Source organism: Homo sapiens, chromosome 1 (genome assembly GCF_000001405.40).
Source record: "Homo sapiens chromosome 1, GRCh38.p14 Primary Assembly".
In the NCBI taxonomy this organism is placed as follows: domain Eukaryota; kingdom Metazoa; phylum Chordata; class Mammalia; order Primates; family Hominidae; genus Homo; species Homo sapiens.
The window spans coordinates 185,291,840-185,319,534 of record NC_000001.11 but is presented as its reverse complement, the minus strand read 5'-3'; the positions used below and the strand labels follow the sequence as shown (position 1 = coordinate 185,319,534).

Below are 27,695 nucleotides of genomic sequence, written 5' to 3'. Positions count from 1 at the left end.
TCTTAGTGTACTGAACTCACCCTTCTCCTTCTTGTGATGTGAGATGATAAAATACCTACATGATGAGATGAAGTGAGGTGAATGACATAAGTATTGTGACATAAATAGCAAATTCCAGAAATAAACGATTCATAAGTTTTAAATTGTGCACCATTCTGAGGAGCACAGTCTGCTCTGTCCCTGCCCAGATTGCCATTAGCCAGTTGCTGTCTGGGTTGTCAGACTGTTGCAGTGTGACAGTGCTTGTGTTCATATAACTATCATTTTATGTAATAATACCCCCCAAATGCAAGAGTAGTGATGTAACATTTTTGGGCCATGGTTGACAAAATCTTGGAAAGTGAAACCAAGGATAAGGGGGACTGCTATATTAAGAGCAAAATCTTACAACATAATGTGTTACTTTAAGAGGTAGAAATTAACCATCAGGTTCCCTGAAAGGCATAAATGGAATGCATAAGTTATGCTATTATTCATAGAGAAGGTAATAAGTAAATTTGAAATTCCATACAAAGCAAAAATACAATGAGTGTGGGCACACTGTAGCTTTAAGAAAAGTGTTGACTGTTTCAGGTCACAAAGACACTATTTAGAGTATAGCAAGTGTGACCATGTGTCCAACAGGCCAGCAGTCATGTGTCTACGCAGAGTGGGCAATTCATACTCTCCCACTGGAAGGATGAAACCCATTGTATTAAAGAGCTTAAAAGTACGTACCCTGATAGTTTCATTTGTAAGAAAAGTAAACATTGCTGTCAGTTATTATCAGCAAGACAAAACAAGAGCACAGTGTCAAATGTCAGTCTTTTTCTCCTTAAGAAAGATATAAAAAATCACTCGAATAGACATCTTAGTTCTTGTTTCCTCCTACAATTAATTGTCCGGGGGCGGGGGGACGGGGTGCGGGCGGGGCGAGGGAGACATACAAGAAATCTGTGAGAAAAAAAGGGGCGGGGGAATAAGTCTCCTTGCCTCAAGATTTTAGAAAAAAAGTTGTAAACCTATTGCAGATGAAGGCTCCCACAATTTATTTTTCCTGCTTCTATAAGCATAAATAGTTAATGATAAAAATGGTAAGAGGCATTGACAAAGAGCTCCTAGAATGTCTACAAATTAAGGTGAGTGATCAAACACAAGGTTAGGCCTAGACAGCTTAAGTGTCCTCCACAAATCAGGATAAGCGTTAACAGGACATTAACCTGGAAGCCTTTACCAAACTCTAATTTGGATATAATTTTACCTCACTAAATCCCTCACCTTCAATCAAAACTCCTTTCCCACGTGCCCTTCAGAGTCCACGAAGTTGCTGCCAGATCCCAGCTTAAATCACGTTTCGCTTTCACAGATCTCCCTCCCGGGCAAGGTGGTGGGGTGGATAATGAAGTTTGGCACCTGGTATAAAGGGCCCCAGTAGGTTAGGATAGGAACTACCACTTCTCAGGTGTGTTTTCTTTTTCCGGAAGAGGGCAAGACCAGTAGAGAACTGACTCAGCGTCTCCGACACGAGGAGAGCTGCACGCAGACAAAACAGACCCGGGGGGTGAAAAGTGGAAGTAAACTGGTGTTTGTGGCACCACTGATTTACACCTTCTCTGACTTCTCCAATATTTTTTTCCCCAAGTGACTCAATCTTCTCACCCAAACCAGGCCAAATGAGGGGTTAGTTGTTCGACTTCTTCTCAGAGTGCCTCTCTTCTTCCTCACACTCTCCACGCCTCCTCTCCGCACCCGCCACTTCCCCCCCGACCCTTAAGTTAAGGGCTCATGCCCAACTAGATCCTAATGTCCACGACGAGCAGCTCCAGTCTAGGGGGGGTTGCCTAGAAGTAGGTCTGACGCCGAGCAATCTAATCTCCCACGTCTGATCTCTCAGGCTATTGTGCCTCGAGGGGAAGTCAGAACAGGTGAGGGCGGCTTGAGGGAACCAGTTCCGGGACAGGCAACGCACAGGGCGGCGAAAGTGAGGGTGCGGGGCAAGGAACGGAGGGAGGGACAAAGGCGCGATAAGAGGAACGAGGGCGCCCCCCGAGCGCCGCCTATCTCCTCAGGATCACCTTGCGCTGACCTAGTTACACCGAGAAGGAAGGAACCCCAGTAGACCAGGGAGGAAGGCGGGGCGGGATGTGGGCGGGGCCGCGGGTGGGGCGGGGCTTAGAGTGGGATCTTTATGGAGCTCGCCTGTGATTTGCAGATGGATTCGAGACGGAAGCGGGCTGGGAGGCGTCGGCGGCGGCAGCGCACGTGGTGACGTGCGAGGGGGTGCGGCGCGAGCGGTCGGCGGCGGCGGAGGCAGTGTCTCCCGGTCGCGCGTGGAGGTCGGTCGCTCAGAGCTGCTGGGCGCAGTTTCTCCGCCTGCTGCTTCGGCGCGGCTGTATCGGCGAGCGAGCGAGTTCCCGCGAGTTCTCGGTGGCGCTCCCCCTTCCTTTCAGTCTCCACGGACTGGCCCCTCGTCCTTCTACTTGACCGCTCCCGTCTTCCGCCGCCTTCTGGCGCTTTCCGTTGGGCCGATTCCCGCCCGCTTCCTCCTGCTTCCCATCGAAGCTCTAGAAATGAATGTTTCCATCTCTTCAGAGATGAACCAGGTAATACGCGCTGGTTCTACGAACGACAGATGAGGGAGACGGCGCGGCTAGAATCCGAGAAGAAGGGATGGCGCCGGCGGATGGGAAGAGGGTGGGAGGCGCGGAAGCGGTGTCCTCATCAGGGGAGGCAGCCCCAAGCGGCCGCCGCCGCCCTCTGGGACGTGAAGCCCGCGCCGCGCTGGGCCCGCGCTCCAGCGCTGCCATGGTTGCCAAGTTGCGTTGGCGGCCGAGAGCGGGCGCCGGTCGCCTCGGAGAGCGCGGAGGCTGGAGCCCCTTTGCTACACTGGCGCGGGTGAGGCAGGCTGGGAGGAACAAGAGTTTTTTGTTCGAAGGGTTTTGGGGGGCCTGGGTTAGGGCGCCGCGGGCGGGGATGACCCGCCGGAAGGAGGGCGCGGGACTCCCCGTTCTTGCTGTCAGGAACGGACGCCTCGCCTCGGGTTTGCCTGGGGTTTGGGATTCTCTTCTGGAAGAGCTCTCGAGACTCGGCTCGTGTGGGCGGGCAGCCAGCCCCGGGCCTGGAGTAGGGTGGCACGGAGTCCCCGATCGCCGTGGGCCGCGGGGTCCTTTGTTCCCGCTCCACGTTGCCCGCTTTTCTTGCCAAGCGCGGGGAGAAGGGGGCGGGAGGAGGGAGGGAGCGGCTGCCCTGACGTGTCGGTACTGAGTGACTGCGGGGCTGGCCAATCCGGGGCGGGGGTGTGCGGGTGCTGGGGGCCTCGCCTCGCAGCCTGCGGAGTGGGCGCCGGCCTGGCTGCGCGAGGAGGAAGGCCTGGGACGCTCTTTCTTTTTTATGAAAGAAATCAGTGGCAAGATTTGCTCTTTTTCCGTCCCTCCACGCTTTTGGTTAAGTGTCTCTGATTATAAGCTCTTGATGATAGGAAGGTATCAGGCTGAGGGTTGAACCTAGGGTAACTTGAACCACTACTTGAGAACTACATTTACTTTTTCCCCCAATAGGTAGTGGACATATCTATTGGTTTGAGACAGCTGACATTTCAAGGAGAAATCAGATGTCCAAAAGGGCGCATTTTTGTGATGGAGCGTGCAGTGATGGAGCGTTAGAACACCTTGGCATCAAGCTGTTCGTTGAGTGTGTCGTGGTCTTCTGTCTACTAATAGATGACAACTCTGGAAGCCTAGTACCACTCTTAACAGATGAATAAGTACAGCATGGACTAGACTGCCACAGGCCATGCTTTCTTTTAATAATTCTAGCACCAGTGATTGATTTAGGAAAAACAAAATACTGATGATTACTTTTAGGCTAAAGCCTGCTGACACTTCTGTCTTAAAGATACTGAAAGAGTAGTTGTATTTGTTAAGTCTGGACGTGAGGTAAACATGGACTTTAGAATTGAATTGAGACTAGTATCATTTAACGCCAGCTGGCAGGCTGCTTATCAAGCTTATAATTTGGTAGCCAGAGGTAAACGGAACTTGAGCCACTGACCAAAGAGAGCCCTGGAATGGTTTTCCTCTGTGTTTTCCTAATAGATGATATCTCTGGTTAACTAATAGATACTAATTTCTATAGCCATTGTCTTAATTTGTAGTTGATTTTCTAACTTTCCCCCCAAGACAAAACATTTCAGGTTTTAGTCTTAGTTTTAAATTAGTGTCTTTTTGGCTACTTGCTTTTGGAAGGTGGGATTTTTTCTTGCTTGAAGGATTTGTTAGATGGTAATTAAATGTAGTTTTGCAAATACGTTTTTAAATATAAATGTTTTCCTGTTAAGGAAGTATCTTAATTGATATTAAGATGAAGTAACACTAAGTAAGTCATTTCATCCACTTTTTAGCAGTGCGATTGTATAGTCAAATCCTGCAAGTAGGAATTATTAAAGGTTGGGGGTCTTCCCACCATGTCATGTGCATGTGCTAGTGTGTGTGTAGATTGAAGTATTGTGAGTAAGAGATTGATTTCTGGGTTTTTGTTAAAACAACAGAAAATACATACTTGTAAACTACAAGTTGTATATCTTGTAAATGTTTCTGAACCTATACTTAACATCATACTATTATATTTTTGTTATTAACATGCAGATACCTCAGCATTAGAACGTCTCAAACCAAATTCTTCCTTTCCTTCCTTCCCTTCTCCATGTAGCAAACTATAAACGACTTTGTGTTATGCTTTTTGGTAATTGATTTTAATAAGGATGCCACATATCTTAATTTTGATAATTGATGTTAATAAGGATGCCACATATCTAAGATAAAATATCTTAAGTCCTCACTGCCTTAAAGGAGCATGGGTGTACAGAATCTTAACTGCCCTGTTTCCATGCTTTACTCATTCCTCTAGACCATCCCCCACACTTCTGCTAGGATGCCCTATGCTTCCTTGTTTAAATCCTTCACCTACTTTCCATGCTTAGCATTGTTTAAACCTTGGAATTAGGCTCTCTTACTTCCTCGCCCACTATTACCATATGCATCCTGCAAATCTACAATCTATTGAAACTGAAATAGCTGCAGTTTCTGGAATATATTTGCTATCATACCTTTTTTCCTTTCTGCTTAAGCTATTTCACAGCTTGTTTTATCTTTCTGACTGGCCTGTGAAGTGTTCCAGGCTAGAGAACTGAGTTAACTTCTATTGTGTTATGATATGAGCATTCCATTTCAGTTTGTGCCTTCCATATGTTTGGTGCTACATATGTTTGTGTTGTAGTGAAAGAATTACAAAACTATGAGCATGGATAGAATGAATGAGTTCAGCGAGTTTTCATATACATGGATGGTGATGGTGGTTTTAGAGGTTACTTTGGAAAGCTGTAACTTCTGGTTTTAAAAAGATGTGTTGATTTACTTTGTATTATAAAGTCTTTCCTTTAAAAATGCAGCTGATGGCTACTTGGTGGGAGCTGACTGCCCTCAAACGATTGTCTTTTGTTTTATCTTGGTCTTACTGAAGGCCAGAGAAAAATTTTAGCAGAGGCCATATTGTGCCTACCTTTTTAACAACTCTTTGATAAGACCTGTTGAATTGTATTTCACTTAAGCTAATCTTTCCGGGCTGTGAACTTCTGGGTGTTATTAAAGCAGTTTAATTACTCATTTATGAGTCTTCGGTATCCCTTGCAGTGGCCATAGAAGTATGCTGAATTTATCTGAATATATTGTATTTGATCCTAGTTTTAATTTTAAATGTGTAAGAAAAGTGACCTAGGTGTAGATTTAGTTGAAAGTGTATTTTAAACACCAAACAATTCTACGTTTCATACTCTTATATGACTCTGGGATGTCTGGACTTTTGGTTTGGATTTTCAAAGAAAACAATTTTCCCCATTTTTTAATTCCACTAGTTATCGTGCTTGAGTTTTATAGACCAAATAAGATCTCCCGTCAATTTGGGGAGTAGTTTAAAACTCTTGATTTGCCCTAGCTCACTTTAATGAAAGTAAATAGGAACTTTCAAAAACATGGTTTTACAGACAGGAATTGATCTGATCCCCTCCAAACTTGAGGTGGGCGGGAAGTAGGTATATAGTGTATGAGGACAATAATTGAATAAAGTAAGTTTGCATTAACTTAAATGTCATCTAGATTTGGGCTGGCTTTTAAAATCAAGTAGCTTTGTACTCTGATCAGTAGATATTAAAGAGATGAGGTTCATATTATGACCTTGATGTACTAAAAATCAGGTACTGTCATGGAATTAGAGTAAAAACTAAATAAAAATCAAGCACTAAATACAGGATTCATTTTACTGCAAAACTCATAATAATATTGTACAAATTTGTCTGATGCAAATTGCCCCAAAAATTCTCCAGTGTTTTCTCCAAGGGCTGCAGTAATTTTAACCATTTTTTTCCAAAATAAATTTTAGGTAGATCATTCAATTTGTCAAATATAGTAAGTGGATACCATTTTTATTTTTTGTTAGATCAAGTTTACAAGTAAAAAGTGAGTAAAACTGGTCAAAGTTTAAAATAGTACCTTCATATTATAATGTTTTTGGCTTTTCAGAGGATGCATTTTAATATAACAATTTGCATGGGGACTCCTTCCTCTTATTTTAAGAGCAGCTTATGAAACTGAAGTTAGGAGTTGCCAACTATGCCTGTGAATTGACCATGCCAGTATAAATCATATATATATGAAAATTTTCTTAGTTTGAGCCAGGTCTTGGCTGAAAATGTTTGAAGGTTTCTTTAGGATAGTGTGTTCTCTCTGTGTAGAAAGAATTATGTATATTTGGAAAACATTTGTTAGAACTAGTTTCTTAGAGAAAAGCCAAATTAACTAACCTAGATAAAAGGTAGAGCAGAGGAAATCAATATTACCTAATGCTGTGATATAGTTTTGATGCAAGGGTAAGCATTCACAACAATCCCAACCCGAATTGGCATTATTGGGTTTCCTTGAAATGAAACCTGTTACAGAGAGACCTGTTAGGACACATGTTGAACTAAACATAGTAGGTTTGTTGAATTCGAACTGGACCAGCCTGCAGTGGAGTCCTGTGGTAAGTGATTATTCACTTTGACGTAATTGTTAGATTTAGAATTGTTGTATTGATGTATAAGGCAAATAATCTTAAGATATCCATAAAAATGAATATATTTGCACGTATTTCAGGTAAGTTATTCCTTAGTTCTGGTTTCCAGAGTTAATAGTGGTGTAATAGCAGTTCAGGTGATTACAAAATAAGTACCATCAGAATTTGACACTAGTAATTGATGATGTGAAAATGAGGGAGGGAGAATAGGTAGGAGGACTGATTACCTTGAAGATTAGGTTTGAACCAGAATGATTCCATTGGTAGTTTATTACTGTGTATGAGAAAAATGATTATACAAAGCACAGGCATCAGTATTTTCCCTTCTGTTTAGTTTATTCCAACAAATTACTCATCTTTATGTTCAAGTTTTTAGGCTAGTCCTGGTAGAGAGGAGATGGGATGGATACAAAAGATGAACAAGACAGAAGGTTTGCCCATGAGTCAAGGAAGATAAACAAGTATATATAAATACAGCATGAATATAAATACAGCATGAAACAGACCAGCTGGAAGATCATAAATACCCCTCAGATAGGGTTCTAAATGTGGAGGATGAGGAGAAACTGCTTCCCAACTGGGAGCATTTGGCAGAGGCTCTATGGCTGTAAGATTTCCTCTGGCAGAGGTTGGGTTAAGGGCCTTCCAGGTAGAGAGAAGAACTTGAACAAAGTTAACAGAGCCTGGGAAGTGCAGAGTTCATTTTGAGGAACAGTAACATAGTATATATGCTTGGGAATAATGCCTAAGGTTGCTTGCTGGCTCAAAACAGATCTCATGTTTGCATATTAGTTGGAAATTAATAATAAAGAATATTAGAATTAAACAGTATTGACATTTGTTTTGTAGTCTTGTGCTTTTATACCTCTCATAAACATAGGTCATTAGCCCCTGCCCTTTGGGAAAGGACTTTTTTTTTTTTTTTTAATCACTTGGGTTGTTGCAAGTTAAATGAAAAATGTTTATGTGGAATTGCATTTGTGTTCTTTTTTTATGTAATGGGAATATTTTTGCCATTTATGTCAAATCTCTTGAAGATCAGGACTTGTTTTACATGATCTGCTCTACCTAGATCAATGACAGTCTTTGATTATTCTGAATATCTAACTTAAATTTATCATTGTTATAGATTATGATGCATCATTATCACAGAAGAAATTCGTGTCTATAGCTTTTAAGGACTTGATTACATCATTTTCAAGCCTGATAGTTTTGGAATCACCATTAGAGCTTAAGACACACCTGCCTTCATTTCAACCACCTGTCTTCATACCCTGACGAAGTGCACCTTTTAACACTCCTTTGTCCTTGGATTACTTAAGAGTTCCCAGAAATACATTTGCCACCAACAGAGTAGGTAAGTGAATGTTCTCTGCCTAGTCCAGTATTAAGACACATTGTTTTTCTGAAGACGGATGTCGAGTACAGTAAACCTTTCATACTCTTTTTTTAAAGGCAGAGAAGTCAGTAATCATTTGAGTATAAAAAACATCATATTTTTCTTTTCTATATTTTGACTTTAAATAAATCAGTAACTTCAAATTAAAATTTCTTACTGCCTTTTTTTTTTTCCTTAAAGAGATAAGATCTCTGTTGTCCAGGCTGGAGTGCAGTGGTGGGATCATAGCTCACTGCAGCCTGGAACTCCTGGGCTCAAGTGCTTCTCCTGCCTCAGCCTTCCTAGTAACTGGGACTACAGGTGTGCGCCACCACCATGACTGCCTAATTTTTACATTTTTTGTAGAGACAGGATTTCACTATGTTTCCCAGACTGGTCTCAAACTCCTGGGCTCAAGCAATCTTCTTGCCTTGGCCTCCCTATTACTGTTCTTTATTTTATTTTATTTTTTTAAGATGGAGTCTCTCTGTTGCCCAGGCTGGAGTACAGTGGCACAATCTCAGCTGACTGCAACCTTTGCCTCCCAAGCAATTCTCCTGCCTCAGCCCCCACAAGTAGCTGGGATTACAGGCGCCCGCCACCATGCCTGGCTAAATTTTGTATTTTTAGTAGAGATAGGGTTTCACCATGTTGGCCAGGCTGGTCTTGAACTCCTGACCTCAAATGATCCACCTGTCTCGGCCTCCCAAAGTGCTGGGATTACAGGTGTGAGCCATAGCGCCCAGCCTATCACTGTTTTTTAATTATGCATTTTGTGTAGTCATTAGTCAGTTGTTTATAAGTAATGGTAAAATGCAAAAAAGTTGTAAGTTCCCATTTATATTTATATAATCTGATGAGATAAGTGATTTAGAATATATGAAAGAAAGGAACAGAATATAAGTTCATCTTTTTAAATCACTGTATATGTTTCAAAACATTTATAAAAATAATTTCGTAGATACAGTGACAAGACTAATCAGACTTTTTAAGTTTGTGTACTAGGCAAGGGAGGAAGACATTAGGCAATTTTCTGCATATAAATCTTGATTATATATAATTTTGAAGACTAGAAGCAAATTGGGGGCCCTTTAAGACAACTGAAAAAGGCTAGGATTAGGATAAGTAACAGTTTTTCTCATTTGTGGGTAAAGGAATGACAGGAGCCCAAATCCAAGGAAACCTATATGTACTGGCTATTTCACCCTTTCAGGCTTTTAGATTACTTATTATATGGGTTTGGGCAGGATGGAGTTTCGTTTCCTTCCCTTCCCTTCCCTTCAGAATGAATTTGCTTAATGGGCATGGGAACCTGGCCAAAATTGTCGAGATAGCTGCTACTGTTTGAATCCTTTAAAAGTCTTATGACCAAAGTATTAGGGAACAAAGACTTGGACATTCAACACAGGTGTTGTTTCAGCTAAGTTTTTGTGTGATGAAATTTTTATGTGTTGTTTATAGGATGGAATTTGAGAATAAAGAGACTGTATTACTCTTTAGCATTATATTTTTAAAACCATCAGTTGCAAGTAAAATAACTCAGCTTTCTTTTCATCATCTAGCCAAATTTATAAGGAAAAATGATTCCCAATGGATATTTGATGTTTGAGGATGAAAATTTTATTGAGTCTTCTGTTGCCAAATTAAATGCCCTGAGGAAAAGTGGCCAGTTCTGTGATGTTCGACTTCAGGTATTTAAAACTTAATTCAAAATTTATAGAATTTTTTATTACTAAAAGCCATAAGTTCTTAGATTTGCTTATTTCTTTTTCATAGGCATTTAATGAAATGATTTTTTAAAAGAATACTGAGAAATGTAAGATAAAGGAATCTGATATAGTAATTAGCTAGAGAAGCACATAATCCACAATACTTATAATTATAATTCTTCATAATTTCAGGTCTGTGGCCATGAAATGTTAGCACACAGAGCAGTGCTAGCTTGCTGCAGTCCCTATTTATTTGAAATCTTTAATAGTGATAGTGATCCTCATGGAATTTCTCACGTTAAATTTGATGATCTCAATCCAGAAGCTGTTGAAGTCTTGTTGAATTATGCCTACACTGCTCAGTAAGTACATTTGAAGTAAACCATATAATTAGGGAATATCTTCAGAAAATTCCAAGTCTTGCTACATATATTTAAATTAAGTGTGTTTTAAGGCTTTGGTATCATAAGTAACTTTTTTTTTAAATAGGTTGAAAGCAGATAAGGAATTGGTAAAAGATGTTTATTCTGCAGCAAAAAAGCTGAAGATGGATCGAGTAAAGCAGGTAGAGTATCAGAAGTAAATAAAATCATTTATGGAGTCTTATTTTGTGTGATTGCAATGCTGAATTTGTCATAAAACATCTTGTTAGTTTCAAGGACTTGAACATGTCCCTTTTTTCCCTCAGAGTAGTCAATATGTTATTTTAACTGTTTGGCTATAATAATGTAGCAAGATCACACTTCTTCTCAGATAATTTGGGCTGAAGTCTGACCCTTTCAGCAATCTTCTCTGGTAGGGTGGCTATGTCAGCCTTTGATAGCATGAATTAAAATTAATATTTTTCTTAAGAGTTAATCACATAACTTATATCCTCAATTCTGTGTTCTCCTAAACTTCCTGTGCTCTCTAAAAGTATTCCTTCTAGAATTTAATGCCAGTAAAAAGTACTTTTGGAAAACAGGCATTTAATCCCCTAATGCATGGGGGTCAGTAAACTTAAGGCCTACTGGCCAGCTGCCTATTTTTATAAAGTTTTATTCAAACACAGCCATGTGTGTTCATTTACATATGGTCTACACTGCTTTCCAGCTACAGTGACGGAATTGAGCAGTTGTGACAAACAGAATGGCCTACAAGCCTAAAATGCTTTTACTATCTGGCCCTTTAAGAAAAAGTTTGATTTGCTAGCCCTTCTTCTAATACCACTCCTTTGTTCAAAAATCCTTCCTTAATTTACAGTACATATCCCTGCATTTAGTTTCTAGATTTTCCCTTATATAGTTGCTGTCTTTCCAAAACTATTTCCTAGTTATCTTTTCTCCAACCAAATTAAATTGTTTGCAGCATCTTCTCTACTTCTGTCTGCATTCAACATCAACATCATCTCTCCTGTAGAGCCCAGTTCAGATACTGCGTTTCATGAAGCCTTACCAAATTATTCTACTTGAAAATACTTATGTGAACTTACATAGCATTTCAATTTGTTGTACCTCTCCTTAAACTAAAACTTACATATCTGTATGGCATAATTAGATGTTTATCATTTGTATACGTGTTATTACCACTATTAACATTTGTTGTATTAAGACAGTGATTTTTGATTCTTTGTATCTTCACATAGTCTTTACCACACTGAACATTAAATATTTGTTGAATAAAAGATATGTAAGTGTTGGCACTCATATATTTCTTTTCCAAGGTTTGTGGTGATTATTTACTGTCTAGAATGGATGTTACCAGCTGCATCTCTTACCGAAATTTTGCAAGTTGTATGGGAGACTCCCGTTTGTTGAATAAGGTTGATGCTTATATTCAGGAGCATTTGTTACAAATTTCTGAAGAGGAGGAGTTTCTTAAGCTTCCAAGGCTAAAGGTAAGGAGTAAAGTCTATAAACAGATATATACTATCTAGTTCCAGGCGTGGAATCTTGGTCTGTGTTTCAAGCAAGTGAGTAATGATTATGAAATAATACATTGAAATTATATTGTTATTCTTAGCAGCGTAATGGGTTTCTCCCTACCAGTTTGTTTACTTTGTTTTTGATTCAGTAATCAAATTCCTTACAAATTCCTGGTTCCTTACAAATTCCTGGTTCCTTACAAATTAGAGTAAATGTATGGAATGAATTGTGCATCTGTGACAACTTTATTATGAAATTGGGAATTAAGCTGAGAACTAGGAGCCCAACACTGATCCATGTCATTGTTTTTCCCAATTCTAGTTGGAGGTAATGCTTGAAGATAATGTTTGCTTGCCCAGCAATGGCAAATTATATACAAAGGTAATCAACTGGGTGCAGCGTAGCATCTGGGAGAATGGAGACAGTCTGGAAGAGCTGATGGAAGAGGTTAGTTTTAAAGTAAATGGGATTCAACCATTTTTAAAAATTATTTTGCTATAACATGAAGGATTCCCTTTCACTTTTATTTTATAACCATGACCCTAAAGAATTTAAATTTTGCTATAGGTACCCCTAAGCTGAGAAACAGGGGGGGTGTCCAGGTGAGCTGAATGAACTGTTCAGTTTGGTCTTCTGCTTTTCTTTTTTTATTTCTTTGCTTATTATGTGCTGTTAACTTTCTTTAAAGTAGCATGTAATTTGCTTTAGAAATGGGAAGTGGTACTGAAATTTTCTGTAGATTCTTAATTTTTCTTCACAGGTTTTTGCTTTAAATTTGACAAGTAGGTAAAAGCTTCTAATGGTTGTTCCTCCCCATTGATTTATCTCCCCATAGGTTTATTAACAAAACTAGGATACCCAAGACTGAAGAAACAAGAAGAAACCTCAAGTGTATTGACACGTAAAGAAGCAGCAGTCCTGCCCCAGTTCTCCTAAGAAAAATCCGCTGTGGGCAGAGAACGATGATGATTTAATGGTGTTTACTCCTTTACAGGATTCTTGTCTTTAAAGCTGTGTGTTTTTCAATGGTGTTGTTCATACATATAGTCACTCACTTAACTTGGGCTACTTTTAAAAAAAATACACAAGATAAAATTGATGGAGAAATGGTGGGAATTGAAAACACGCAGGTGGAGCAGTGGAGTAACCTTGAGTTTCTCTCTCCACTTAAACCTTTCGGAGTTCCTTTATGAGGGCTTACCAAATCTGTTAGGCCTGCAGAAACACTGTCATCATTATGGTCTAAAAGGGCTAACAGATTATCTTTAAATTCTATGATTCCCACTTGAAAGTCAGATGCATTTGCCATGTATTTGCATCTGTCTCAATGGAGATGACTCTACAGCTTGCTTGAATTTTTGCATTTGTTTTTTCTTTGTTTTTCTTGACATTGCTTACAGGAAGGAAATATGTTTATGCAAACCAGACCACTTATCTGCAAAGGTGTAAACTATATTCAGTATTTTATTGTAAATATGTATATTCTTTAAGAGTATATATTGTACTAGTGCTTTTTTTCTTACTGTTATATGATAGAAGCTATGAAAAAAATGAAGATTTCTTTCAAGCCAATCAAGCCAACGACTCTTCAGCCAGTATTGGAAGATTTTGTATTTGATTTTGGTTTTTTGTTTTTGTTTTTTAATTTTTACCACCATGACATGTATTTTTCTTTACCTCCGGATCCTGCCAGAGTAATATGTCAAGAAGCTCAAGAAGCACACTGGAGGTTACCTTGAGGCGTTTGTGTAATCTGCATACTAGTGGAGTAGCCATGGTGACCGTAGCCACATGGGTGTTCTGTTGCTGTTTTGCAGGTTCAAACCTTGTACTACTCAGCTGATCACAAGCTGCTTGATGGGAACCTACTAGATGGACAGGCTGAGGTGTTTGGCAGTGATGATGACCACATTCAGTTTGTGCAGGTACACATTGCACAGTCTGAGGTAACCTCAGGTTAAAATTTGACTAGAGAATTTGATAGCATACTTAAATTTTCCTTTAATAAAGGAAAGTGGACCAATTTCATTGGTATAACTGGACAGAAACATTTTTGGGAGAAAACAAGCATATCTTAGAGTTAGTATTTTTGCCACATGAAAAGATATTAACAAATTAGGAAACCCTATTGAAATTTTTTTCTCATAAAGCAGGAATTACAAACAGTAAAGGCCAATAAGATGGAACAATATAGAAATTATTTGGGAAGATTATGAAAAGCAGTTGTTTGTGTCAGGCATGACTGATAGTTTTTTTTAAAAAGGGGCAGGGGGACTTAAATTGTTGATGGCTATGAAAGAAATTTTTGGATGTTACCTTAACTACTGAGCTGTCTTACTGGAAATTAGAAATGGTATAGTTAAGATGGACTATACAATGTAATAAGTCTAAAAGTGGTGGATCATATGTTAAAACCTGATCTAGATGTTTCTTTAACCAAGATGAATTAAAATATAGTAGAGTTCCACTGTGCTGATTGAGTTACTTTGCCTTTTATAAAATCCAATTTCATTTTTCCCCTATGAGTAAACACATAATTATTCAGACACATTATCAACAATTACTAGAGAACAAACTTCTCAAGTATAAATTTTTTAAGTTTATGGACAAATACAGAAAAGTACACAAGTCATAATTACCACATAGTGAACCTACCAGTGTAAACACTACCCAAGTCAAGAAGAGGTTTCTAGCATCCCGGCAGCCTTTCTCTTGCCTCTTCCCAACCGTTTCCGTATAGTGCTCCCAAAGGAAACCATTATCCTACCTTCTGACACATTAAATTAGTTTGGCTATGCTTGAAAAAATTTATATAAATGGTCATATAGTATATATTTTTATTTGGCCTTTAGCTCAAATTATGTTTTTGAGGGACAAGCTATAAAGCAGTCGACTCAGCCCAGACTAAGGAATGCTTTTCTTTAAAAATCAGAGGGTAAGTGGTAGACTTAGTAGTAGCCTATATGGTTACAAATTATCAGGTGTTAGCTCTCTCAGGTGTCCTGTGGCAACAGTGAGTGAATATTTCTAAAAGTTTTGGAATTTGAATTAGTTGAGAACCTATGTTTGTGCATTTTGAATATATTGAGGATATTTTCCCCCTTAACTCTAAACATTTTGAGTTAACATTTTAAAAGTACATTTTCAACATGCAGAGGTTGAGTGCCCAATAAGTGGCAGGCCATAATGTTCGGTATGGCAACACAAAAATGTGTAAGAGACAGTTTCTGCTTGTAGGACCTTCTAAGAGTGGGCAAAACAATACAGGCTTATAAGAGGTAGCTACGAAAGGCCTAAAGGAGAGGACACAGTGAGACAGGAGAGAAGCCAGGGATATTTCACACAAGAGGTAACTTTTGAGCAGTGTTAGGATTTAGAGGAGTCTGCATAGCAGATAAAGGGAGAGGTGTTAGCAAAGAGTATCTGTGAGGATGATACTCTTGGAATTGCAGGTCATAAGACTGGGAAAGTAGGTAAATGCTCCCTGAATGGGGCTTATACTTTATCCTATAGGCAGTGGGAAGCCTTAGGTAAGAATACAGTGATACGAAAGTTTTGCATTCACTTTAGTAATGGTGAAAAACTGGGGAACAGTCTATTAGGTGGCAGTCTTTGGGCTGGAATATCCCAACTGATTTCTGGTTTTATTTTCTAAAATTGTTGCCTTGGACCCTTCCTATTTTTATAACCAGACACAGAAAATCAATAAAAGTTTGAGCCCAGTTTATAGACTATTGCCAGCAGTAGTTCAGGTTTTAAAAAAATGATGAGGGATTAATCTAGGGGCATGAAGGAGAAAGGATAGATTTTTTATTTATGTCTATATATAAATAGACATTTATATTTACAAAGGTTGACTTAGCAGGCCTTAGTGATTGCTTAGCAAGATTAGGGAAAAGAAAGAATTTGAGAATAAGTGGGATTCTGACATGTGTGACTCATTAGAATGTGATGCCATGAATAGAGATCATGAAGAGGATGCGAGGGACACATGTTAGACTTCAGGAATAGAAAAAGGAGGTTGAGAAGAAGCCATTAGAAAAGTCAGAGGACAATAAGAATCTAATCATGTTGTAAAAGCTACCTAAGGTAGGAGAAGAAAGTTTGAAGGAGGACTAAACACTGTCAAGTTCTCTGGGAGGTCATGTAAAATAAGGTTTAGGGATATATTCTTTACATATAAAGGATTTAATCAGCATTTCTATATTAGGCTTGTTATTAGGCATTGCTTTTGGGCCTTTCTCTTTCACAGTCATTTTCTCTTAATTATAGTTTGTACATTAGAACAGTTTTTTTACTTCAGTACAGCCTCAATGTAAGCATCATCCATTTGTGATATTTGGATCCCTTCTTCCCATAGGTTGGGATGAGGTTTTATGTACCTTGTAATTCATAATAATAGATAAGGTTAGATAAGTCTAACCTTATTTTTTATTCTTAATATTCATAGTATAAAAGTGATATGAAAGATGCATTCACAACTTTAGTAACAGTGGAAAACAGCCTGTCATAGTGTAAATCTGTTTTATAGTATGACATAACTTGTCATAGTATAAAAAGGATGGGGTTTATCTTCATAATTCCTAATCTTTATTTTAGTTGTATTGCCTTGGGCAATGCATATCTTCTTGAGTTTCAATATTTTTATCTATAAAATGGGTAGATAATATCACCCTCACTGGACTAAAAGAGATGATGTAAATAAAGTACCTAGTAATACCTAGGTACATAGTAAACATCTAAGTGGAATTTAATCATAACCATTGATAATGATACATTCCCTGCCTTTTCTCAAAATAGCCTACGTATGTTGTAACCACACTCAGGCCTAACTTTTGATATAGCTTTTTCTTAATAGCTTCAAGTAGCTAGCAAAATCTTTTTCTCAATTACTTGTTATATGGCTTTTTGCTTCCACTAGCAACAGAAATTTCCATTAGAAATTTTACCTATCCATGTGTTCTGGCCATCTGGACCAGCACAAGTGGGATGAGCAAACTAGGCCAGGTGCTGAAGTTGCTACCTGTTCATTTGGCAGTTCCTCTCAGAGTAGTCTTTACTCTTCCAATTCCATATGATCATATCCTTTGGAAGTGGCAAAGGCTAAAGTAATTGGAAGGAAGCCATCAAGGAAAACTCATACATGAGAACACATGTGTAAAGTAGTTCTCTTACAATCATTTGGAAATTGGCAGCTTTGTTCATTTCTCCCTCTTTAGTATTCCTGTATATTCTACTTTTGTGAATATTTGGTTGTTTTTAGTAATGTTTCATTTCTGATTACTATTTTCTTGTGTTTTGATGTAATTTTGTCTAGAAAACCACTCTATAATACCTATAAGGTAATCCTAAAGAAATATTCTTTAAGTGTTTCTTGTAATTGCCACTTTTTTCCTGTCAAGTACTTTCAGAGAAACTGGATGAATCTATATCTGCTTACGTTTTGCTGGCATTGTATGAAGGATACCTGTACATATGATTTAGTTAGGTTTGACAATTTCATGAAAATAGTGGGTTAAATGTATTCTCTGTTAATTCACACTATTTTAAATTTATAGCATTCTTTTAAAAGATTCTATACTTAATATAAAAATAATTATAGATTGGTTTTTTCTTCTGCTGAGGTCTTGATTTGCAACATGTTTTTCAAATTGTTAAAACTGAGCTTTTTCTTACCTAGGCTAATTGTGTAGGCGTAGTTGTCTCATCATTGAGTGGAGATGGAAGTATGCCAGTAATTTGTGTCATTTGGAAAGTGTTGGCTTGAGTTAAAGTTAGTGTCCTATAAATGTCATATATAGGTGAAGGATACTCAGTGTTGTGGAATAGCTCAGGAACAAAGGTACATCAGATGTGGTCTTTGGCTAGGTTTCTGTAGCTACCTTTTGATTTTGCAGAAAAAGCCACCACGTGAGAATGGCCATAAGCAGATAAGTAGCAGTTCAACTGGATGTCTCTCTTCTCCAAATGCTACAGTACAAAGCCCTAAGCATGAGTGGAAAATCGTTGCTTCAGAAAAGACTTCAAGTAAGTATATGACACTTGCCAGATTGTTTTCAGCTTACCTATTTTTAAGAAGGAGTGTTGCCAATTTAATACCTCTTAAATTGACTACTCGAGGAAAAAACTCAGAAGCAATTAAATTTGGAAAACGAGAGCAGATTGTTCCAGTCTGGGATGTGGAGACTGGAGTCCAATTCAGGATCATATACACAAACCAAAAGTAATAATTACATCTTAAACATGGAACTCTTGTGCTTACAGATAACACTTACTTGTGCCTGGCTGTGCTGGATGGTATATTCTGTGTCATTTTTCTTCATGGGAGAAACAGCCCACAGAGCTCACCAACAAGTACTCCAAAACTAAGTAAGAGTTTAAGCTTTGAGATGCAACAAGATGAGCTAATCGAAAAGCCCATGTCTCCTATGCAGTACGCACGATCTGGTCTGGGAACAGCAGAGATGAATGGCAAACTCATAGCTGCAGGTAAGAACAGAAGCATTCAACTGGCTAAGCATGTAGATGGGCATTTTTGTGACATGCAAACTTTCAAAGAGAGGGTTTAATATGCCATCTTTCACGGCAATCCAATAAGATAGGGAAATAACAATACTATTGAATATGGCTAACCTTCAGTTCAATGTCTGTATCTAATTTTTAAAAAAATTATGTCATGGCTAAATTTTTCTAATATTCAAGCCAAGACTAAGCAGTTTATTTGTACTGATAATGCGATTTTTCAGCTATTACAAGCACTTAGTTAAAAGATCAACTAAGGCATCCTTAAAAAGTTTTAATACTTTTTCTCATTGTGCAGATTTCTTAAACTTACAGGACTGGAAACCGTGGTCCAGTTTAATATTTTAAACATAAATCTTTATGGTTTTATTTTTTACCAGGTGGCTATAACAGAGAGGAATGTCTTCGAACAGTCGAATGCTATAATCCACATACAGATCACTGGTCCTTTCTTGCTCCCATGAGAACACCAAGAGCCCGATTTCAAATGGCTGTACTCATGGTAAGCGCATTATGTTGCAGGAGCAACCCCTATTTAGCTTTTTCCTCGTAACTTCAGGATGTTAGAAATTCTCATCTCTCACTTTTGGCATAGGGCCAGCTCTATGTGGTAGGTGGATCAAATGGCCACTCAGATGACCTGAGTTGTGGAGAGATGTATGATTCAAACATAGATGACTGGATTCCTGTTCCAGAATTGAGAACTAACCGTTGTAATGCAGGTAATAATAGTTTTCTCCTGAGATATCCAGTATTTAAATATGATAATTAAATTATCAATATGTAACTTTATTTTATACTTACATAGGAGTGTGTGCTCTGAATGGAAAGTTATACATCGTTGGTGGCTCTGATCCATATGGTCAAAAAGGACTGAAAAATTGTGATGTATTTGATCCTGTAACAAAGTTGTGGACAAGCTGTGCCCCTCTTAACATTCGTAAGTTGATTTTTTTTCCTTTTTTTTTTTAAAGACCTTCAAATCAACAGTATGTGTAGTATACACTTAGAGTCTGGGAGATGTAGCAATAATCTTGACTTGACTTTTCTTGTAGGGAGACACCAGTCTGCAGTCTGTGAGCTTGGTGGTTATTTGTACATAATCGGAGGTGCAGAATCTTGGAATTGTCTGAACACAGTAGAACGATACAATCCTGAAAATAATACCTGGACTTTAATTGCACCCATGAATGTGGCTAGGCGAGGAGCTGGAGTGGCTGTTCTTAATGGTGAGTGTTGGGATTTGGAGAGGTGAAGAGTAGATAGTGGCAAGACTTTGTTCTAAAACTCTGAGAGAAAAGGCCAATGACTATAGTTGTACAGTTAAGAATTCAGAAGCAGTCATCTCTTTTGATGCAATGGAGATTAGGGTGATTTGTCCTTTAGAAATATATTTTCTAATCAAAGACTTATAATACTTGATATATAACTTAATTCACCAGTCTTTTGATGGGTGCACTGAGTGAATTTCCAAGTCATTTTCTTCTATAAAACATATCCTTAATGCATCATCTTGAATTTTGAGTTTCCCCTTCTTTACAGCCAGAATTTAAAGAATCTGATCTGCAAAACAAAGGCAAATCCCTAGTCTTTTCCAACTGTCTACTCCATACCTAATTGGAAATACAACCTTTAGACTATTTTAACAAGTTTCCAAAGTATTAAACTTTTTAAATGTAGACATAGCTTTCTTTCCACCTCCATTTTATTGACTTTTAATGTCTAATTATATAATCATAATTTAAAAGTTAGCATTGTTTTTGGTACCAGGCTGAACCTTAGCAGGCTTATGGCTCAACTGGTGAAGGCTTAAGTGTAGACACAGCCTGTTGGCCTAGAGCATTGTCAGCGTGCTTTACAGATACATAGAATGCAAGCTGGTTAAGTGATGGTCAAATGAAAAAATAATGAATTTGAGAATCAGTAATAAAATTTTTTCTAAGCTACGGAGTATTTATTGCTAACATTTTATCTATTTGAAAATAATCATAACTCTGTTTCCAGAAGAAATTTCTGTACCACAATCATTTTATTTTTTTAATTGAGACATGGTCTCACTGTGTTGCCCAGGCTGGTCTCGAACCCCTGGGCTCATGCAGTCCTCCCACCTCAGGCTCCCATAGTATTGGGATTATAGGCATGAGCCACCGCATCTGGCCCCAAAATCATTTTATACAGTTGGAAAGCCCTAAGATATTTTTCTGCTTTCCTATAATCTCTTCTGAGTCTTAATTCTGTACATTGGGCTGATATAAAGTCCAGTGCACAGAACTATTCTGGTTTGCTACTTAGTAGCTGCATCTGTAGGATAATTGTCCAGCTTCTTCCTGCTTTTCTTCTTCTCTGAAATAATAATAGTAACTACCACAGAGTTGGTGAAAATTGTACTTATTTAGATGCTGCTACTGCTTCCTCTCCCTCCCCCTTTTAAGTTGCCTAAGTTCCACGTGGGAATGGTTTTTTTATTGATTTGATTCCCAGCTCTTAGAGAGTATTTGTCATATTAGGCATTTAATAAATTCTTTTTGACAAAATGAACAGGCATTTCTATTTTTAAAACCACTGATTTTTAAGCAAAAGACAGATTTAGGGGAGTTTTACCTTATTACACTTTAATCTCTGGATTTACCCCATCTCATTTCTCTTTTAGGAAAACTGTTTGTATGTGGTGGCTTTGATGGTTCTCATGCCATCAGTTGTGTGGAAATGTATGATCCAACTAGAAATGAATGGAAGATGATGGGAAATATGACTTCACCAAGGAGCAATGCTGGGATTGCAACTGTAGGGAACACCATTTATGCAGTGGGAGGATTCGATGGCAATGAATTTCTGAATACGGTGGAAGTCTATAACCTTGAGTCAAATGAATGGAGCCCCTATACAAAGATTTTCCAGTTTTAACAAATTTAAGACCCTCTCAAACTAACAGGCTTAGTGATGTAATTATGGTTAGTAGAGGTACACTTGTGAATAAAGAGGGTGGGTGGGTATAGATGTTGCTAACAGCAACACAAAGCTTTTGCATATTGCATACTATTAAACATGCTGTACATACTTTTTGGGTTTATTTGGAAAGGAATGCAAAGATGAAGGTCTGTTTTGTGTACTTTTAAGACTTTGGTTATTTTACTTTTTGGAAAAGAATAAACCAAGAATTGATTGGGCACATCATTTCAAGAAGTCCCCTCTCCTCCACATTTGTTTTGCCAATTTGCACATTAAATGACTCTTCCCTCAAATGTGTACTATGGGGTAAAAGGGGTAGGGTTTAAAGATGTAGACAGTTGGGTTTTTTAAGGGCCCTTTTTCAATAACTGGAACACTCTATAACAAAGGATACTTATTTAAATAGATGACATTGACTATTTTTGTTTTTATTAAAAGGAAGCTTACATGCCTACCAATATTTAATCTTTTATGATTGCCTTTTTATAACTTTTTATATTCTCAGCAGAGTGCTTTACCAATTGAAGTAAAATGTGGCAGGCTGGAGTTATTGAAGCAGAGTGGCAGTCTTCAGTTTGCAGAGTAGGGGTCTGTCTTTTAAACTCTGAGTGCAAACTTCAGAGTTCTTGCCTTGGCTGCAGTTTTTTTCCTTCAAGAATGCAGTACTAACATTTATTTGAGTGGAGTTACTGAACAGTAACATAGCTGTGATTTTTGGTATTTGAAACACTGGTTTTAAATATTTTGACTTGTTGAGGGTATGTTTTATATAGCAAGACATTATATAGCAGTAAAAAATGGTGTTTTATCTTCTATATAATTCCTGTTTTTATTATTAACAAAACAGTCCTAAATAGCAGCCCTCAATTGTGAAAAAATTTACTTTAAACTACATTAGGTTGTGAATGCAGGTTTTATCAGAACTATGTTTTTGTTCAGTTTATCTGTTCATATGGATAAATATTGGTTGGGATGACTTGGTGTCTAATGTGTAGTGCTACACACCTAACTTATGGGGCCAAAATAGCATGTCCTAATGCTTGCTGCTGATTTAAACACATTAAAGGTACTTTGCAGGAAATCCTTGCACCATGGGATTAATATCCAATTGCTGCTTGTACACTCATTCATTACTAAAAGTTTTGAGAAATTTTTTTTTCCAGTAATGAGCTTAAGAAATTTGTGGAAAATAACTCACCTGGCATCTTACATCTGAAATAAGGAATGATATAAGGTTTTTTTTTCTCACAGAAGATGAAGCACACAGGAACCTAATGGGCCAACTGGGATGAGGTGACTATTCTGAGATGACTATTCAGTGGCTAACTTGGGTTAGGAAGAAAATAATTAGGTATTTTCTCCAAATGTTCACTGGTACTCTGCCACTTTATTTCTCTCATCTGTTACACAAAGAACCACCAGGAAAGCAAATCAGTTTGGTTGGTAACTCTGTAATTCCTAACTATCACTGGTTTGGTTCTGGACTAAAACTACATTGACAGATTGAATTTGCCTAATATGATGACTGTTTTTAATATGGATCTGTATGTGTTCTATTCAGCACAAGGAAATAAAATTTTAGTTGAGGATTCAGCACTAAAATCCTTGAGATCACTTCTCATTTCATAAGTGACATGCTTAATGCAAATAATATATGGGAATACTTTGGGTCAAAGTTTTCCTGCATTACCTTGGATGCCAAAGAGGTAGTTTGGTGGCCAAAAAGTATCTTTTTTTAAGAAGCTGTTGTAGCTAGTCTGCATGAACATGAGAAGTTTCCATAAAGGAAAAAAAGCAGTGCTCAGTGGCCATTTGTTACTGTTAATCTGTATCTAAAAGGTACATACTTTCTTCAGAGAGGGAGAAAATGGCATAGCCTCAGCACAATTTAAAAAAAAAAAAAAGCTTTTTAACCAGTAGGAATTTTTGAATAGTTTCAAAATAATATTGATAATACCACACTTCTGGTCAACTTAATAAAACACTCTAAATTTCCTAAAAAGGTAGAAAAGCTATAAAATATCTAAACCAAATATTATTGGTTATACTCGGGTGGATCTTTTATTATGAACTTTAAATGTAGGGTTCTGATTTTTGGCTTCTAGTGTGTCATGTACTTTACCACTGCTCAACATGTTTTCAAATTCCCAATATAATAATCATATTTTAGGGAAAATCCAGGATTTGAGTATGTGATATATCATTAGAATCCTTGCTTAATTAACAAATTAGGTGTGTGCCCTATTACCTCTCCTGACCTCAGAATTCTTAAAATTGAAGTAGGCAAAGGAGGAGCCCCAGTAGGACATTTCTGTAACTGCATGCAGAGTTGCCTTCAGAAAAGTGAATATGATTCATGGAAAATTCAGTTGCTGTCGTAATTTACACGCAGCTGCTTTTTGTTCCAAAAAAAAAAGGTCTGAAGAGTCAGCAAGTGAGACATAAGATACAAGGTTAATTAACTAGGTGTAAAGGAGAAAGAAAAACACTCATATATGAATCCTTAAATCCTTGGTAAGACTGAGCTACAAGTTTCATCCTATAAACAGGTTTTATTAAGTTAAATCAGTGTCTCTAGGTTAAAAAGGAGTAATTGCTATGAATTGCAGATATCCTTCATAATAAAACTGCCAGTTTCTCAAGAATATTAATGACACTTTGAACAAGTAGAGTTTATAAACAGGAACATACAAACTCATGTGAATGTCATGGGTTCTTCAACCTATGAGCATCAATAATCTTGGCCAATAAAATAATGAACTTTATTAACAGCTCCACACCTTACTGGGTGGAGAGAACAAAGGTGAGAAGCAAAACTCAATCATTATGCTGGATCTGTGTGGAATGCCTTTAACAGAGGCATATATCTGAATAGAGGCCACACACTTGCTCAGGATGACCAAAGGAAGTAACATAATTTTAGCCAGAAAAAAAAGGCACACAGAAAGACCTAACTTGGAGTAATGAAACTACTGAGATGAAATGTCCAGCAAGGTAATAAGATGAGATCTGTTAAAACGATTTTTAAATGGGTAAAATATTTGAAGACACTTTGCAAAAGAAGTTGATGCCATAAGAACACAGGAAAATACTATCATAAATCATTAAGAAAATGTAAATTAAAACCAAAATGGCATACACCTATTGAAACTGAATATACCAAATTCTGCTTACGATGCAGAGCAACTTGAACTCTCATACATTGCTGGAGGAACTGCAAAGGTGCACAGGCAGTTTAAAAAACAATCCATCCATTTTCTAATAATCTGTGACAAAGCAATCCCATTCGTAGGTATTTACCCAAGTGAAGGAACATATTCACACAAACCTGTATGTGAATATAGCAACTTTATTCATAATCACCAAAAACTGAATTCAGTGAAGTAGCCTTCCACCTGGTGAATGAATAAATTTGTACATCCATGGCAATGCAATACTTCTTGGGAATAAAATAATGAACTACTGATAATATGGATAAGTCTCAAGCATCATGCTAAATAAAAAGCCAGACTCAAAAGCCTCCATTAGCTGGGCATAGTGGCATGCACTTGTAGTCCCAGCTACTCAGGAGGCTGAGGTGAGAGGATTGCCTGAGCCCAGGAGTTCAAGGCTGTAGTATGCTATAATGTCTGAACAGCCACTGCACTTGGGCAACATAGCAAGACCCTGTCTCTTAAAAAAACAGTCTCCATTTATATAGCATTCAGGAATAGGAAAAACTACAGGGAAGGCAAACACATCAATGGCCTCCTGAGCTGGGAATGGGAGTTAATTACAAAGGGACATGAGGGAATTTTTAGGGGTGGTGTGACTTCAATATCTTGACTGCTGATGATTGATTGATTACATGTTTGACAGAACTCACAGAACTCTACACTTACGAAGGAAAAAAAGTTTTGTTTTTCTAGCTTAACCAAAGTGGTACCAAACCTTTAAAATATCAAGCTTAGAAGAAGGGCTAGAACATGTCCATATTTTACCTCATTAGAAATAAAGAATAGGATGTTGAAAATGGTTTGTGCTTTAAGAAGACTGAACCAAGCTAGTAGCTCGGATTTGGGTGTCCACCACCTCACCTTCCAGGCTTATAACTGGTAATTCTGCTCAAGAATCTGTCCTCAGTGTTTTCAACATCGAGAATTAATTTGAGACAAACTACATCTAGTTCATAAACAAAGCTAGAATTAAAAAGGATTCCTGTCACAGGCCAAAACTAGTCTACAAACCCTCAGGGTGGCCAATTCTTGCTTTTAACAACAGCCAAAGATATTAAAGAATTCCATGAATACAGAGATGGATTTTTAAAAATACAAGTATATATAATACTAAAACCCTCAGGAAAGCCAACATCTTGAGGTACTCTGGCTCCAGAAGAATCCATTTCTGTGGGCCATATTCCAAGATCTAAGAGGTGTATCTGTTTGACTTTACTGAGTGGCTTTTCACCTGACAGACCAGACAAACTTAAAAGCTTTCAAGTCAAACTTTGGTAGGCAAAGGTAAAGTATGTCTTTTGTTTTAGAGTAGGTGAGCCTGCAGGTCAATTTGTCAAAAATATTAACTAACCACAACTATGAGACACTACACACAGTGTAGTTCCTGCCTTCATGGGGCTCAGTTCTGTTCACTGGAGTGGGTTTTATATATACCCAATAAATAGAAGTGTGACTGGCCTGTCCAATCTCGAAGTCAGAAAAGGGCCATGGGTAGCATCACATCCTTAGAGACTGGATGCAGTCACCAGACTTTGAGGAAAGAGGGAAATTCATCCCAACCTGTCATGCTAGCTAAGAGAGCAAAAAGTCAAGAATATGAACAATGTGACCTAGGCTCTGAAAGCTGACCAAGACACCATCTAAATAAACCTGGACTGACAATGAAAGGACTTTCGTTCTCCCTTAAAATAATGTTCAAAATAGCAAGGAAATAGAGCTTCAGATGTGTCTTGTGTCACCTGGTCTTTCATGTGACAGTCAAAGATCCACAATGTGAAAGTGGGATTAACCCATCTGTGAAGTTCTAGTCTGTGCAGTCACAATTGACCACTGCAGGTTTTAACAAGAGGACCCTGTGGGGACACAACAGACTTCAATTCTTTAGCCAGCTTTTCCTTGGCTCAGAATATGGAGAGAGCTGGAGGCCCTCCAAACCAGAGGATGTTCGCTGGTCTTCCCAGGAGAGAAATGAACTATCTTTTGTAAAAGTAAGTTTCAAAGGCCAAGTGTAGTGGCTCATGCCTGTAATCCCAGCACTTTGGGAGGCCAAGGCAGGTGGATAACTTGAGGTCAGGAGTTCAAAACCAGCTTGGCAAACATGGTGAGATCCTGTGTCTACTAAAAATACAAAAAAAAAATTAGCCAGGCATACTGGTACATGCCTGTAATCCCAGCTACTTGGGAAGCTGAGGTATGAGAACTGCTTGAATCCAAGAGGCGGAGGTTGCAGTGAGCCGAGATCGAGCCACTACGCTCCAGCCTGGGTGACAGAGTGAGACTCTGCCTCAAAAAAAAAAAAAAAAAAAGGAAGTTGCAAAACAGTAAAGGAACTCTCAACCCCTGCATTACATGATTAGGACAACAAATAGAAAAGTAATAAAGTTTACGATCATAAAAAAAAAAAAAAAGCAACAAAGAAGGGAGAGGGAAAAACAAACAAAAAAAAGCAAGACCTGACATTTCAAATGATTTCAAATGGAAGAAATAAAAGCTAAAACAAAAATTTTAAAACAATGTTTTTGAATAAAAAAGACTAGAAAGTTAAAAAAGGACATCTTCACATCTCAATAATATTGAAAAAGTTTTTTATATAAGACTGAAGTAGGCATAAGGGTAAATATGTGATAAGACTGAAAAGAAATTTTAAGGAAAGGATTAACCTATATTAAAGCGATAAAAAAAAAAAAAAGAGGAGTTACCAGAACAAGGAAAAACAAAAACCCAACAATAACAACTAGAAGTTGAAGGATAAGGGTCTGAAAAAACTTCTTTTCATGGGGGTCAGCAGGCAACAGATGAATGTATATTTATTTGGCTTCTCAGGAAAGAAAAGGAAAGAGGCAGAGAGCAGAGATGCCCTCTTAAAGCTTCCCCATTTGCCCAGAAGCTCATAATCTCTGACAGCACTTTGAGCCCCATCTGTGCGGCTGGTGGT

At 38.1% G+C, this 27,695-nt stretch overlaps 1 protein-coding gene and 1 long non-coding RNA gene across 5 annotated transcripts in view, besides 5 other annotated features; one reads left to right on the top strand and one right to left on the bottom strand.

Moving 5' to 3' along the window:
* Positions 1-2,083, bottom strand: part of CBSLR (CBS mRNA stabilizing lncRNA) — a 58,849-nt gene extending 56,766 nt beyond the window's left edge. Inside the window, exon 1 of the long non-coding RNA XR_007066771.1 lies at positions 1,258-2,083. This is a non-coding gene — a long non-coding RNA (CBS mRNA stabilizing lncRNA). The remainder of the gene's footprint in view (positions 1-1,257) is intronic.
* Positions 1,274-1,353: an enhancer, noted in NCBI's record as "active region_2243". NCBI's record gives its function as "activates an Ori minimal core promoter by ATAC-STARR-seq in GM12878 lymphoblastoid cells {active_cell/tissue: GM12878}" and the evidence as "EXISTENCE:reporter gene assay evidence [ECO:0000049][PMID:35858748]".
* Positions 1,604-1,703: an enhancer, noted in NCBI's record as "active region_2242". NCBI's record gives its function as "activates an Ori minimal core promoter by ATAC-STARR-seq in GM12878 lymphoblastoid cells {active_cell/tissue: GM12878}" and the evidence as "EXISTENCE:reporter gene assay evidence [ECO:0000049][PMID:35858748]".
* Positions 2,034-2,343: a silencer, noted in NCBI's record as "silent region_1647". NCBI's record gives its function as "represses an Ori minimal core promoter by ATAC-STARR-seq in GM12878 lymphoblastoid cells {active_cell/tissue: GM12878}" and the evidence as "EXISTENCE:reporter gene assay evidence [ECO:0000049][PMID:35858748]".
* IVNS1ABP (influenza virus NS1A binding protein) lies at positions 2,292-23,147 on the top strand. 4 transcript variants are annotated; one of them, NM_006469.5, is made up of 15 exons: positions 2,292-2,582; positions 8,213-8,440; positions 10,024-10,152; positions 10,363-10,532; positions 10,660-10,735; positions 11,873-12,046; positions 12,396-12,521; positions 13,892-13,999; positions 17,972-18,101; positions 18,339-18,563; positions 18,977-19,098; positions 19,192-19,318; positions 19,405-19,536; positions 19,652-19,825; positions 21,247-23,147. In NM_006469.5, the coding sequence occupies exons 3-15, from the start codon at positions 10,042-10,044 to the stop codon at positions 21,498-21,500; spliced, it is 1,929 nt and encodes a 642-aa protein (NP_006460.2). In that variant the 5' UTR covers positions 2,292-2,582; positions 8,213-8,440; positions 10,024-10,041; the 3' UTR covers positions 21,501-23,147. The 4 variants fall into 4 exon arrangements, with proteins under 4 accessions (NP_006460.2, XP_047290026.1, XP_047290052.1 ...); XM_047434070.1 differs by having other exon boundaries at positions 2,292-7,050; XM_047434096.1 differs by lacking the exon at positions 10,363-10,532.
* Positions 2,353-2,966: an enhancer, noted in NCBI's record as "NANOG-H3K27ac-H3K4me1 hESC enhancer chr1:185285701-185286314 (GRCh37/hg19 assembly coordinates)". NCBI's record gives its function as "activates a minimal SCP1, AML or CMV promoter by ChIP-STARR-seq in naive H9 embryonic stem cells {active_cell/tissue: H9 hESC(naive)}" and the evidence as "EXISTENCE:reporter gene assay evidence [ECO:0000049][PMID:30033119]".
* Positions 2,804-2,863: a silencer, noted in NCBI's record as "silent region_1646". NCBI's record gives its function as "represses an Ori minimal core promoter by ATAC-STARR-seq in GM12878 lymphoblastoid cells {active_cell/tissue: GM12878}" and the evidence as "EXISTENCE:reporter gene assay evidence [ECO:0000049][PMID:35858748]".
* Positions 23,148-27,695: the final 4,548 nt, after the last annotated feature.